Source organism: Homo sapiens, chromosome 10 (assembly GCF_000001405.40).
Source record: "Homo sapiens chromosome 10, GRCh38.p14 Primary Assembly".
Lineage (NCBI taxonomy): Eukaryota > Metazoa > Chordata > Mammalia > Primates > Hominidae > Homo > Homo sapiens.
Genome location: NC_000010.11, coordinates 102,592,172 through 102,606,453, shown reverse-complemented (window position 1 = coordinate 102,606,453; position 14,282 = coordinate 102,592,172). Strand labels below are relative to the sequence as shown.

Here is a 14,282-nt window from a genome sequence, read left to right as displayed (position 1 = left end):
AACAAGGGCATCCCACGACGCAAGGCCTGGCACAAGGTGATGCGCAATAAAAACTGCCCACTCAGCCGCGAGGACCAGCCCAGGATTCCTTCTATATTGAGAGCACCACACCAAGGGGTGGTTTATGGGATGGCTTAGAGGTGCAATTGATCTAAACTGATCTATTTCATCTTTAACCACCTGTCTATATAACACATTCTATACTTGTATTTCTCACTGCATAAGGTGACTTTTTATAGATCCTAATATACCCTCTCCTTCCAGTGTCAAGGTAGATTCCTGATTTCTAGCAGTGTACAGTTCATAGTACATGCCTTGATCACCCTACCTACACATAACAGACCAACAGAGTCTCAACCATGCTTCCCCTCCACCCTGGTCTCTCTGAACGGAAAAGTCTTAATTTTTCACATTCGCCTAAAGGGCATTGGTCCCATTCAGTCAGTGGCAGCATGGGTGGAAAGGAGAGGAGCTGAACCATTGAGACTCCTTTTAGCCACAATCCCAGTCCTGTGAGTCATGACGTCTGCAGTGGACACACGACTTGGGGCCTTCTCCTTGGGGATGCCCAGGAACAGGAACCAGGGCATCAAGCTTGGCAACTATTCACAAGTGAAGTGGATTTGGCCTGCTGAGCCCAGCCCAACCTCTGGCTTCTGCCCCTTGCCTGGGAGATTCTTCCTTTTGCTTTCTGATTGCTGACGAAAGCTCTGAACTTTCCAGAGAAAGAACCACCTGCAGGTCTCCCTTTAAGGCAGAACTGGAAAAGGGTGTGGCTGTGGGATCGAGGGAGAGGGGACCAGCTCACCTCTGAAGTTCTTATTAAGCACAAGGCTGTATAACCTGGTTATTCTGACAAATTTTCTTATAAGGACAATATAGGAGTAAAAGGCCACAAAAGGTGAATAGTAAACACCAATAACCAAATGACAAAATGCAGTATTTTCTTTTTTTGCTTTGAGACAGGGTCTCAGGCTGGAGTGCAGTGGTGTGATCACGGTTCACTGCAGCCTCAACCTCCCAGGCCCAGGCAATCCTCCCACCTCAGCCTCCTGAGTAGCTGGGACTACAGGCATGTGCCACCACACCTGGCTAATGTTTTGTAGAGATGGGGTTTTGCCATGTTGCCCAGGCTGGTCTCGAACTCCTGGACTCAAGAGCTCTTTCTGCCTCAGCCTCCCAGAGTGCTGGGATTACAGGTATGAGCCACCACACCCAGTTTAAAAATGCAATATTTGGCAGGGCACAGTGGCTCATGCCTGTAATCCCAGCACTTTGGGAGGCTGAGGCGGGCAGATCATAAGGTCAGGAGTTCGAGACCAGCCTGACCAACATGGTGAAAACCCATCTGTACTAAAAATACAAAAATTAGCTGGACGTGGTGGTGTGTGCTTATAATCCCAGCTACTCAGGAGAATCGCTTGAACACAGGAGGCAGGGGTTGCAGTAAGCCGAGATTGTGCCACTGCACTCCAGTCTAGGTGACAGAGTGAGACTTCACCTCGTGTTAAAAAAAAAAAAAAAAAAAAAAAAGGCAATATTTTCATCGGGAATATCCCAAAGGTAAAATGTGATCATGAAATCATGAAATGGTGGGACAGAGTATGGCTAAAGAAGTCAGGGTGAGTAAAATCTGCATCAAGGTTAGGGGATTTCCTAGTCAACTATTAACTCCTCTGGGCACCAGGGGCCGCCATCCCCAGCCCTACCCTCTGACTTGGGTGGGAGATTAGGACCCCTACTCTCCTGAATGAGCTTACTCTAGCCAGAACCCCAGCTTTCCTTTTTCTGAGACACTGAGTCATTTCCTTTCTCTAGCTCTTACCTTTGAGCCTTCCTTTTCCCTTCCCTGGAGAAGTGACTCACTGCTGAAGTGTTGGGTGACACCGAGGATCAAGGATGGGCGATAAAAATACCCCTGATTGTGCAACTCGAGGGAGGGGGATGCAGCGTTTGGACTGAGAATTCAAGCACCAGCAAGGAATTCTGAAGTTGAGGTGTTAACAATGGCCGTGACTTCATCTCTTTGGGGAAGCGGAGCAAAGAACGGAGTTAAAACAGAAATTTACCCATGCCAGACTTGCTGTGGAGCCCCTTGCTCTGCCCTTTCAAATATGTATTTCTGAGAAAGGCCTGTAAAGGCACTTGGCATGACAACATGGATCACAGTGAGGGAGGCAAAAAGGAGCCTGCTGTCCAGGACGCAGGGAGCAGAGAGGCCTGGGCTGTTCCTCTCATCAGCCCTGCAGAGTCTGGCTGGGGCCCTAAGAGAAGGGCTGTTTCTTTCTGGGCTTTCTTTCCAGTGCAAGCAACTGTACTTCCCCAGCGTGGGAGTGTGAGGGAAGCCAACGTGACAGAGAGGGCTCCAGGCTGGCCACTGCGCTGACAGGAGAGACCCCTTGAAGCAGGGTTACCCAACACTGCCCTTCGTGCGAGCGGCACCAGCCACAGCCCAGCTGTTTCCCCAGATGGAAACTCACCTTCCTTCACCCCAATTCACTGGTAAGTTGGATGCAAACAAGATATTTTCTTCCTCTAATTAATCTTCATGGACCTCACAAGCTGAGCAAAACAAAACACAATTTTCTCTAAAGGATGACTCCCTGGCCAGGTTACAAGGTATTCAAGATGGGAATTAGAGGGAGCAAAGTCACCCCAATCAAAGGCCAAACAGACAAGTGCAGAGACACTCCTAAGAGTAGAGAGAAATCTATGTATATGTGTGTGTGTGTATGTTGGGGAGGTGTTGCAAATGTGAATGTTACAGCAGAGGAATTCATGGTACAGAATCTTAATTCTCCATGAAATTAAGGCAAAAAAAATTTTTTAAAGGTCTTAAAAGCTGCTGGTGTGATTCTAGAAGACTGAGAAACTCAGCAGTGATGGTGAGTTCGCTTTTTAGAGGTGCCTCAACTACAAAGTGCTTCTCCCATAGTCAGGAACTTTTCCCCTCTAACATAAGTGTGCACACCTGCATGTGCCCTGTCCCTCTCTGGGAGGGCACACAACTCAGAGAGCTTCCTAAGAGTTCCCAGCCTCAGGTGGTAAGTCACTGGCTGAGGGAGGAGGTGGCCCTAGAATACTGGTGCAGGTTCCCAGCATCTGAGCAACAGTTTAGAGAAATACAGGCCAGGTGTGGTGGCTCATGCCTGTAGTCCCAGCATTTTGGGAGGCCAAGGTAGGAGGATCACTTGAGGCCAGGAGCTCGAGGCTGCAGTGAGCTATGATCTTGCCACCACATTCCAGCCTGGGTGACAGAAGGAGACCCTGTGTCTAAAAAAAAGAAATAAATAAAAGAAAACCTCTACACACAATTCACCTGACCACACGTATCTTCTGTGCACTGTAGAGAGACCAGACTCCGTAGACCATGTCTGACCAGGTGACCTCAGACAGAGAGGATGCCCAGGAACTTTTCCCTCCTCAAATCTCTACAGATATTGGCAGGCACAGTCTTTAAGCCAGGCTGTCCTCATGTGGCACAAAGGAACTGCTTCCCATCCTTCCCAAACTCACCCGAGCAGGCAGTGGGAAGGGAGGCGCCAGCAAGCTGAAGGAGGCTTTTCTCAACTGATCATCTTGGGAAAAGCCAGATACAGATTTCATGGCTGGAATGCAAGGGTTGTGAAATGCTGAAGAAGCCCCAAAGAGGGCCAAGGACTCTCCTTCCGGGAAGGCAGTGGGAGGAGGGCTGGCAATGAAGAGTAGGAGAGGAGCGGGTTACCCAGGGGGCCTGCCTTTCTGGAAAGGAAGAAATAGACCCTCAAAATGGAAAGAAATCCCCTAGCCCTGAGGTGGTAGAGGGACCAGAGAGAGGGTTGTTTTAGTTTCTGCACATGAAGAAAGTAAGGCCTTGTGTCACAAAATAATTTTGGTATAAATGAGCCAATTATGACATAGCTTGTTATTTCTGGGATTTGGAATCATCAAGGCTCATGGCATCTCATAGGAGTTATTTAACTCCCCTAGAGTTTAGTTAAATAAGCCCAATAAGCTTCTAATATGAGGCTTTGGCCTTGTCCTTGGTGCCATGTGAGAGGTCCTGATTCATGCTGCAACTAGTTAGATGAATTCTACCAGTAAAGGTCATTATTTTCTCAGAGACACAGTCTGATGTGTCCCCCATGGGGTCCCTGAGAATGGGGTAAGGAAGATTACATCCATTTTAATGGCTGATAGATGGCTGTAACTAAGCTCTACCCCTTTCCAACCTTGGAAAAGATACTTATTAGCCTCTCTGTACCTCATCCATTAAAGGGGAATATGTAAGATTATCGACCACAGGATGGCTATGAGGATAAGATAAATGAATGGCAGCACATAGTAGCTGGCACATTACCTAGCACAGAATGAGCACTAATAAGGTTTTAGCTGCTGCTGAAGTGTGAAAAGAGCAAGTGCTTGACACCCCCAAGTAGGCCGGCACCCGGCTGCTATTGCCCAGGCTTGATCAGCTGCTCTGAGCCTCTGATTTAGCTCTGTATCTTCCTTAGACCACAGACAAACCCGCGAAGACCCATGCATAAGAGCTCCCTGGCCCAGAAGTCCTGACTAAGGGGAAATCAGACCCGCAGACAAAATATGGCCCACGCTGGCTGCCCCCCAACAGGGAGAGGAGCAAACACTGGTGCCAGCACATTTTGGGTCAGCTTTCTCAGTTGCAATCCATGTGGTGTATGTGAAATGGGGTCAGGTCCCAGAGTGGGCAGCACAGATATTACCGTCACGCTCACTGATCTGAACTGAGTCCATCATCATCGATCCTGAGATAACAGGAAACTTGAGTCTGACAGGCTTGAGGGGTGTGTTGGAGAATGTTCTTGGCAAAGGAGGAGGAGAAACCATTTCTCAACCAATTGCTAACAAATTGGTAACCAATACTGACAGCCTCAGAGGAAACATTCTATTCCCCTCAGACTACAGGTCCTGGTGCTTTAGAGACCTTACTGGGCACTAAACCTTCAGGAAGGGGAGACAACCCCGGCACCTCGAATCTATTCTCACCCATCTCTCTGTATCTCAGCCAACTCAAGCCAAAGGGTAGAAGCTGCAGCCTCTCTGCCTTATGTTTACAGAGAACCCTTGGGCCAGAACCAATACCCGACTGCCCAGTTAGGGTGTAGGCTGAGAGTCTCGGCTTATGTGTATATCTAGGAGCACAGAGCCTTGTGCCCCATTGCAATGTCCAGGGGTGCAGTAGCTGGAAGTGCCCCCAAGCCAGGGAGTGAGATCTCAGGCCTGTTCCAGATACACAAGCGGGGCAAGAAGGTTGTATCTCTGCAGGAGCTTGTGCCCTTCTGCCTAGAAACCCCAGGCTTCCAGAGGCAGAGAGCCATCTGGACTGAGACTGTGTCCATGTTATAGGCCTTCCAGTACCTCTGGCCTGCCAACAGTGCCAAGGAGGCCCAAAGCGAGAAGCCAAGCTCAGGGAATGGGAAGGAGTGTAGACCCGGGACAGGGTCCAGACTCACAGGTAGAGAGCTTCCATATGTCGTATGACCTGGTGTGGCCATCTGCTGCTGCCAGGGGATGATCAGGATGCCTCCAGCCAGCTACTTCAGGGCAGCTGGCTGGAGAAACCTACAGGCCGGAGTTAAAAGCTGCTCTGAGGTGGCGGTGGAGGCTTCTCCAGGCTTTTGCCAAAGAGCTCAACTCTCAGTACAGCCCTGTTCCCAGAGTAACTCTAGTTCCAGTCAGGTCCCAGCAGGCAGCCTCAACTTTAACCAGCCAGGCCTCCCCTGTGCTATCCTCTTGAGTTCCTTCCCCTGCTTATTAAAATTCTAAGGTGCCCTCAAGGTCGATGCTATGTTCTTCCTCCTCCAAGATGCCCTCCCTAACTACCCCAGATCCTGTGGACCTGTCTTTTCTGTAGTGCACTGAAGCATTACTACTTCTGGGAAACACGATCAGCAACTAGAGCTAGAATCCAGAGAAGCAGCCATTTCCAACAAATCACATCGACAGCCAGATGCACACCATTAAAAGGTAACTGTTTCACTCATGTTCTCCCAAAGGAAGAGCCTGTGCACCCCAGATGGCCCCCTAGGTCCGAGCTTGTCAGACAGCAAATGTGTAATAAAGACTTCATAGAAGAAGGCTAGATCACCCTGGTCTTGCAGGATGATCAACCTCCCTTTCAGCCCAAGGCACAGCAATTTCCTCCCTGGCAGGCAAGGTTCCTGCTTTGGGCTGCCAGCCCCCAGGTATCTCCTGCCAGCAGCTATTCCCTAGAGCTGCCCTGGGACTAAGGGCAGAGGGGGGTGCCCAGCTTCAGCCCTGCCTATCACTCATCCCCTCTATCAGAGGAAGAGAGGTTGGCAGGAAGCGGATCTGACCTCTAGGGTGGCCACAGTCTCTCCGGAGGGCTACAGGGGCCCCTGGACAGGCAGCAGAGGCCTGCAAAAGACTTCCTTTCCCTTCCCTGGGCCCCAGGGAAGAGAGGCAGGAAGAAGGGCCTCAGCCACAGGCATCCAGTATGGGGCTGGCCAGAGAGGGAGGCCCCCAGGGTTGCAGCTATCAGCCGGAGACCAGGCTCCAGGAAGGAAGGAAGGGCAACTCTGGCCAAGACTGAGATAAGGAGGGAACCGTGCTCAGCACAATGGGCTCCCACAAGGCTGGGAGGCCCCAAGTCAGATTTCTCCCCAACCTGGCCTCCTGTCTGTTCACACGGCTCATGTAAATATTTACTGATGTTAATATTCACGGTCTGCTGGGTCCCCTCTGAGGCCCTCTCCTATGACCCACAGATAGATCTGTGTGCCCCAGACCATGCCTGCCCTTAAGCCTAGAGATCCTGGGCCCATCCAGCAAGGGCTATGTGCATTGTTCTCTCTCATGCAATCCACAGGGACAGGCCCTTCAGAAAAAAGTCGTCCTCTTGTTCCAGCCCAGGGACACTGGGGAACTTACGGGGCCCGGTCGTGGGCGAGGCCATTCTGCCGCTGAGGGTTGATTGGTGGAAGGACAGGTTTGCTGTTGATCTCGAGTCCTCTCCTCAGGGTCTCCCGGATCTGCTCTGTGTCTGCAACGACACCACTAAGTTGCCCAGTGGCCCAGTGGGCTCCCAGCAATTCTCACCCCGCTCTTGAAACCTGGCTCAGCAGAGGTGCTAAGAAAAACTACCACGCTGGCCAGTCCTGAGCCCACTCTACGCATCCAGATGTAAGCGCTGAGTGAGTACAGATTGCGAGGGGACAACCGCGCTCTTAAGAAGCTCTGGGTTGGAAGAGTACCATTCTTGTAGAAGCCAGGGGCAGCCTCTAGAGTTCAGAAGAGCGCTCTCCACCATCCTTTTCTTTCCTGTGTCACAGGCCCGAGGTTTACCCTTAACATGGCTCCACACAGTGACTGACTACTGGGGATTCTGCCCACTGAAATGGATGTGAGTTAAGGCTGCAAGCACCCTGCCATGAATGGGCAGGTGCCTCTAACACACCTTTCTGGGTTCTGGGTAGTCAACTAGCATCTGGTCCCGCCACTCCTTCCCCTTGCATTCAAGTCAGTGAGATGCTAAGATCATCTCTCCACCTTGGTCTATCCCAGGAAACTCTGCCTCTCCATGGAGAGGCAAGGGCCAGGAAGTGAAAGAGTTCCCTTGGTGGGATTATTTCTTTGTAAGGTGCTTTGCTGGTCTTTGGGATGAAGCTTACTAGTCTGGTCCCCTGTATTGAGATTTGGATCTAAATTTACCTCTGCAAACTGTAAACAGATACAAAAAAGCAAATTAAAATTAGTTGCTCAAAGAGTGGCCTTAGAGTGGGAAGGAGATGATTACTAACTTTTCTAACTATTTGACTTGTTACAGTGGAATGGATTACTTTTACAATTTTTAAAAATAGCCAGTAATGACTGAAATTTTAGACAAGACTATGACTCCCTCTTTAAATCACCTCTTTTGTCAAAAGCAACCAAATGATTCCAATAACTGTATACCCTCTCTTTGAGCCTCCAATAGGCTTGGCATGCCATTAGAACAAACAGGAAGGAAAGAAAGGGCTTGGCCGGGTGCGGTGGCTCACATCTGTAATCCCAGCACTTCGGGAGGCTGAGGCGGGTGGATTGTTTTGAGCTCAGGAGTTTAAGACCAGCGTGGGCAACACAGCGAAGCCCTGACTCTACAAAAAAATACAAAAATTAGCTGGGCGTTGGTGGCTCACGCCTGTAGTCCCAGCTACTTGGGATGCTGAGGCTGGAGAATCACTTCAGCCTGGGAAGCAGAGGTTGCAGTGAGCCAAGATCAACCCACTGTACTCCAGCCTGGGCAACAGAGACCCCTGTTTCAAAGAAAAAAAAAAAGAAAGGGCTCAAATATTTGCACTAGGAGTTTAAGTTTGTCCTTTACAGAACGAACAAAAACCTTTTATAAGTGTTATCATATATGTAAGGATTTTATTCAGGGCTGTAGACATCTTATTCTTCAAAAAAAGAAAAGATGGAAGAATGAAGAAAGGAAGTAGACAAAGAAGCTGTCAACACATGTATATGTAAGTGGCTGCTTCTCCTTTGCAGTTAGCTGGGGACGCCCTCTACTAAAAACCACAACTGTTTCTGTAGCCAAGATCAGCACAGGGAGATTCCAACAGGACAGCCACATCCTCCTTCCCAAAGACCCCATCCGGAACACGGTGGGTCCAGAGGCCCTGCCCACAGCCCCTAACCCTGTATCTATATGACAGGAGGTGGGCAATTTGCAAGCCAGCCTCACACTCAGGCCTCATTTGTTGAAGGCCTGGGAGGGCCCGAGGCCAGAGTGATCCTTGGATCTGGCATGGCCTTCAGGCCAGAGCTGGGCCCTGTGTCAATTCCGTGGGTGGCCGACACTTTTCTCTTGCACTTGGGTGGACTATGGACTTTTCCTGTAACTGTTCTGAGGCTTCCACTCACCTCCATGACCTCAGATTGCAAAGGGCATATCTAAAACACAACGGTGCCTGCTGGTGATGCATTTGAAATACACACAGGAAACACAACTAGGAATGGGCCAATAAAGCTCCCTTAATTCCGCCCTGCTGGAAGACTTCACTTGCTGTTTAAATCATGCCAGGAAATAAACTATTGAATGGGTTGTTTTTGTTAGAGACCCATCCTAGAGAGACTGGAAACCAGGCCCTGGGGAAAAGGAAGGAGGAAGGCTGGTGGAATGCTGAGTGATGGCTCCCACCTTTGCCAGAGAGTCGCCGGGGCTGTGTGCCGATGCAGATGCTCCGGCTGTCCTCGTCATCCTCGGGGGGCCGGCTCAGGTCATCCCAGGCACACTTGGCACTGACACCACTCAGGTTGGAGCCATCTGTCTCGATGCCTTTGTCAACTCTCTCCTGCTTGAAAAGAACCAAAGAGCCAGAGTTCTTTCAGAGAACTGGTGACCCAAGGTGACCACCCTTTCAGCCACTGCTCTTACAGTATTTACTGAGCCCTTGTGGTGCTGAGCATGGGACAAATGCTGGAGAGCAGGATCTCTGACCTTGTTCTGCCCTGGTTACCAATGCATGATGGTCTCTGCCAGCTCCTGGACTCCTCCAGGGGAACCAGGGATTAGGGGAAGCCAGGAGGAATGCAAATCCCAAGGGAAACATCTCTTCTACCATCAGCCTTCCAGCACAATGGCCTCTACCTGTTTCAGAGCCCCAAACCTGTCCCCGCCACGCTGGCTGGTGGGGCTGATGTGGCCATGAGAGAGCCTACTTCTCTGAGGAGAGGTGTGATCCTTCCTCTCCTCCCGATCTTCAGGCAGAACCTCCCAGTCACTGCTATAGAAAACAGGGTGGAAGCCTGCCACAGGCAACAGGCCACACCTGCAGTTTCCCCTTCTAACAGCTAGAGGGTGTGGTCACACAGGGAAGAGCCACTGGAGAACAAAGGCTGGACTTCCCTAGATGCATTGGTTCCCTTGTTTAGCAAAGGACTCTGGATGGAGATTCCTTCCCATTTCTTAGACTGAAATGGGGGCCTAGAGTGCAGTGACTATCTGCAGACACCCTTCTCTCCCCATCGAGACCCTGCCTTTGTGCAGGCCTTGGTACTGCTGAGTACAAACACTCTCCAAATGGCTTCAAGGAAGAGTTGTACTCAAAACATCCCTGGATTTTCTGGTAAAACACAGTTCATTGATGCTGGACCTTGAATTAAAAGTCATCTGGAAGGCTCTATGTCCATGTGGGCCAAATCAAGCTTGTGACTGAGCATCTCAACAATAATCTGTGCTTCCCGGCTCCACAGGTACCACACTGGCCTGCTGATCAGCCCAGAAGCCCCATGTGGGAGAAGTACAGGTACTGTCCTTATTTCCTGGGACCAGTCAGCAAGTGGCTCTGCCCCAGACGCCTCCTTCCCATCAGTCATCTCCTCCTTTCAAGTGCTAATGCTGGCCTGGGCAAAGCTGTGGGTTCCGAGCAGGAAGAGGCTAAGCAGGGAAGCGCTCTGTGTACTCTGGGCAGGGAGCATGTATACCCTGGTGTGCTCAGGGGATAGTCTGAGCTTTTTCCTCTGCACTGGCTGCCCTGGGGTCCCTCACTTAGGTAAAGAGTTGCAGACAGACAATTCTTGGCTCAACTTGTCTGGGCTATTTACTTTATAAGTAAAAAGAAAAAGTTAAGACCCAGAAGGCGAGGGACTTATTTGGGCACACAGCTGGTTAGTGTAGAGCTTGAATCACAGGAATATATGCCAGCTCTAAAGAGACTGATAGCAAGCAGGCCCCAGAAAGGCACAGTGAATACAGAGGAGTTCACACTTGGTGCACAGAGCCACCAGGAAAGAAAGCTGTCCTTTGTTCCTGTGGGACCCTGGCTTGCTTTCAAAGACCACTAGGTGCTCCGGGTCCTGTGGGCTGCTCTCAGGGGATCCTGCAGACTAGGAAGAACAGCCCTTGGCATGGAAGGACAGCTGTTTACCCTACTAGTGCAAAGGACCAGGTTCTTTCTTAGTACTTGGCACTTATGACAGGGGCCAAACAACGGCCCACAGTGCCCCATGCTGGATCCCAGTGTGGCTACAGAACAAGGGCTTAGGGAAAGATAGCCTTCCTGGTTCCTGGTTCTTGCATATGCAGAAGATACAAGGAAACCAAGTTTAAAGCAGAGAGAACAGAGGATCCTGGCAGCAGTTTGAAATGTTCAGTGTTAAAGGCACTAGGAAAACAGAGGAGCATCATCTGTGAATGAAGAGGATTTATGCCCAAGAACTCACAAGTCTACAGTGAAGAACTCAGGGGCTGCTGGCTACATGTCCATCTGCCACCTTTCTCTTGCTCTAACACATGGAACTCCCGGCAACTGCCTGTGGCCTACCAGATATTTTACAGAAGCATGGCAGGTTTAGAGATGGCAATGACCTGCATTTGGTCAGGGGAGTAGAAGGAGCCAGACACCAGGCAGGTAACATTATTAGCTGTCTGTGGCTCCTGCTTCAAGAGAAGCCCATAAGAAAGGCAGTTATGGGCCAGGCGCACTAGCTCAAACCTGTAATCCCAGCACTTTGGGAGGCCGAGGCGGGCGGATCATCTGAGGTCAAGAGTTCGAGACCAGCCTGGCCAACATGGTGAAACCCTGTCTCTACTAAAAATACAAAAAATTATCTGGGCGTGGTGGTGGGCGCCTGTAATCTCAGCTACTCGGGAGGCTGAGGCAGGAGAACTGCTTGACCCTGGGAGGCGGAGGCTGCAGTAAGCCGAGATTGTGCCACTGCACTCCAGGCTGGGTGAGAAGAGCGAAACTCCGTCTCAAAAAAAGAAAAGGCAGTTACGTTCTTGTGGCTTTCAAACTTTACCTGCATGACAAAGGAATGCTTCTAAAACAGCAAAGATGACACTGAAACAATGTCCAGGTGGGCCACAGGGAGTGGGCAGCTGCCAGCCTGTGTGTCTAAGGTGCCAATCTTTCCAGGCTAGGAGCTCTGCATCTGACTGTCCAAGATAGAAAATGTGGCGAAAATGGGGATAGGACCATTAGACCAATCAGCCCTCACTCCTGCAGCTGAGCCATGGAGTCAGTATCACCTACACTACTGTCTGGTACAGGGCGGTGGTGGCCGTGGTGGCTCCCTAAAAGAAAGTCTGGGAGGCAGGAGAATGAATACTGGGCAAGCAAGCAATATCCACTACACTTATCTTTTATTGCTGGCAATCTAATTTTTTAAGCCAATATATAATTTACATACAATAAAAATATCCTTTTAAAATGCCAAAATACATATGTCTGAGGACTAGCTTTCCTGGGCTGAAACCTCTGCTCCCTACGTGCTCTGCAGAATTCAGGGGACAAGTTCCAAGTGATGCCATATTTCTACTCACTCACACATAAAGGTCCTCTGTTTTCCCAGGATGAAAGCCAGTGTTATTTGGAAGAGGCCTAGGCACAGGGTGCTAGAAAGGTTTTCCTCACTCAAGACATACTTGCAGGTGTGGATCGATCTCAAATATGGTCTCTCCCCTCCGCATGTCAGTTATCAGCCAGGGGCCGCCAGCACTGTGGACAAGGAAAGGGGATACAATGGTAACTGAGGGTCTGGGGCTGATGGGCTGGGCCTACAGCCTGCCCTGTTTGCTGCCCCAGGCCTAGGACACAGGGGAATAGTTCGTGGTCAGGGACTGTCAGGGAGTGAGTCGTCAGGAAGCCCTGATGTGAAAAACCAGGGTCTGAAATAACAACGCAAGAGGGAGCCCCACATGGAGGGTAGTGGAGGGACTCCCACCCCCAGGCCCAGGGAGCCGCGCTCCCACCTTGCATGGGTACTCACATAGGCACTGTCCGCAGCAGCTCCAGGATGCCCTGCCCGTTCCACTGCTGGGCTGAGTGTAGCTCTTCAGTGCAGACACCAACGATCTGAGGCCCAGGATAGAAAGCCCATTGTGTGTTAATGGCCACCCCCCACCCCAAGAAGGTCAGCTACCCAGGCTCTCTGAGTCACCTCCAGTTGGGAGACCACAGGCAGGATCTGTGCTCAGGAGCTGGTGCAGCCAAGATTGGATGATTCCCTTAGGAGGGAGTGGCTGCCTGGCTGGGAAATGGCTGGGTCCACATGTGGGCCCTGAGGCCTGACCCTTGCCCTTGCTGTGTCTGGATGACACCAAGTCTAGCTCTTAGCTACAAAGGAGAAAACCAAGGCCTGAGCAACTCAAGATGTGTCCTCAGGCCATGTCTCTGGAAGTAGGGGAGGTTCAGGGAGCCATTCCTACCCAGTCTGGTATCATGGGGAATGTAAACAAGAGACTTTGAGACCTATCAGGCTTGGAACCACCACCAATAGGTCATAGCAGCCTGCAGAGAAACTCCTCCCTTCCTTATTAGGGGATAGGCCTTTGTGTAAATATCAAGGGAATCAGTGGAACCTTCACATAGACTTCGTGACCAAAAACAAGCACTGGTCAAAGCTGGGCAGGTTCCCACAGCTTCTGGCAAAGAGCAAGGACGACCCAGAGCTGGCTTCCCGCTGGAAAGTCCTGTTCCTGAGACTGGGTCTTCACTGTTCAAAGAATACCCGCCACCCCATTACTCCCTCTCAGCTACAGCCATTCTCTCCCAACCAAATGCCCCCTTCCCTTTCTCCCCTCTCCCATCTCAGCAGGTTAAATCAGACCATCTGAATCTACCTGACAAACCATCAGAGGAAACAGAAATCAGGACGAGGCCAAAGGAAACCTCCCACTCCCTTCACTCCCCCTCCTCAAGCCTCCTTGTCCTCCCAGGACCCTTCCCACAGGAAGGCTTGAGCCAGCGTCCAACCTGTGCCTCACCTGGAGGAAGGTAACTACCCCAAAGGGTGTCTGCACGGGCTGCATCTGTGGGTCCTCTGTCAGCAGCATGTGCTGAATTCTTGACTCACTGTTATCCAAAGGGCTGTGCCAGGACACATGGTCCCCACTGCAGAAGGTGTTCTCTGTGGGAGAGATACAAGGATCCTCATTGTTCAAGGCCCCAGATCCAGGCCTGGAATCTGGGCTGGGATCTCACTAGCCCAGGCTGGGAGGCTTCCCAGCCTCTTAGGGTAGCCCCTGTGAAGGAAGAGAAGCATTCACTCCGGATGGAAGCAAAGAGTTTGTGGATATTTCCAAAAACCTAAATTGTTCCTGCTTGCCAGTTCTGTCAGACTTGAAAAGGACAGGCTATTAGTGTGAAAGCTCCTTCGGCCTGGGAAACCAGAAAGACTTCTGGCATCTGCTTCGCTTCCCCAATATCCCGACTCATGGTGGGAGGCAGGAGCCATGACTGGATCTGCCAAGAAAGAATAAGGTGCTTTTCTGTAGGGCCACCTGGCCAGAAGTCCACAGAGAGGCAACAGGGCAATGA

General features: G+C 50.7%; 1 protein-coding gene across 12 annotated transcripts in view, besides 3 other annotated features; it reads right to left on the bottom strand.

Annotated features, from left to right (window-relative positions):
- The window catches only part of SUFU (SUFU negative regulator of hedgehog signaling), a 130,717-nt gene that overhangs the window by 27,082 nt on the left and 89,353 nt on the right, over window positions 1–14,282 (bottom strand). For 8 of the 12 annotated variants that reach the window (XM_047425335.1, XM_011539863.4, XM_047425336.1 and 5 more), the window contains 5 exons: window positions 13,730–13,872; window positions 12,733–12,818; window positions 12,389–12,461; window positions 9,161–9,317; window positions 6,910–7,021 (listed from right to left, as the gene is read on the bottom strand). In XM_047425335.1, the coding sequence (XP_047281291.1) occupies window positions 6,910–7,021; window positions 9,161–9,317; window positions 12,389–12,461; window positions 12,733–12,818; window positions 13,730–13,872 (571 nt within the window). The remainder of the gene's footprint in view (window positions 1–6,909; window positions 7,022–9,160; window positions 9,318–12,388; window positions 12,462–12,732; window positions 12,819–13,729; window positions 13,873–14,282) is intronic. The other 4 variants (XM_047425338.1, XM_011539860.4, NM_016169.4 and 1 more) reach the window with 1 other exon arrangement.
- Window positions 1,535–2,734: an enhancer, noted in NCBI's record as "P300/CBP strongly-dependent group 1 enhancer chr10:104363477-104364676 (GRCh37/hg19 assembly coordinates)". NCBI's record gives its function as "activates an origin of replication core promoter dependent on BRD2, BRD4, P300/CBP, MED14 and CDK7 cofactors, with strong dependence on P300/CBP, by STARR-seq in HCT116 cells {active_cell/tissue: HCT116}" and the evidence as "EXISTENCE:reporter gene assay evidence [ECO:0000049][PMID:35650434]".
- Window positions 5,952–6,702: an enhancer, noted in NCBI's record as "H3K27ac-H3K4me1 hESC enhancer chr10:104359509-104360259 (GRCh37/hg19 assembly coordinates)". NCBI's record gives its function as "activates a minimal SCP1, AML or CMV promoter by ChIP-STARR-seq in naive H9 embryonic stem cells {active_cell/tissue: H9 hESC(naive)}" and the evidence as "EXISTENCE:reporter gene assay evidence [ECO:0000049][PMID:30033119]".
- Window positions 8,702–9,678: an enhancer, noted in NCBI's record as "H3K27ac-H3K4me1 hESC enhancer chr10:104356533-104357509 (GRCh37/hg19 assembly coordinates)". NCBI's record gives its function as "activates a minimal SCP1, AML or CMV promoter by ChIP-STARR-seq in naive H9 embryonic stem cells {active_cell/tissue: H9 hESC(naive)}" and the evidence as "EXISTENCE:reporter gene assay evidence [ECO:0000049][PMID:30033119]".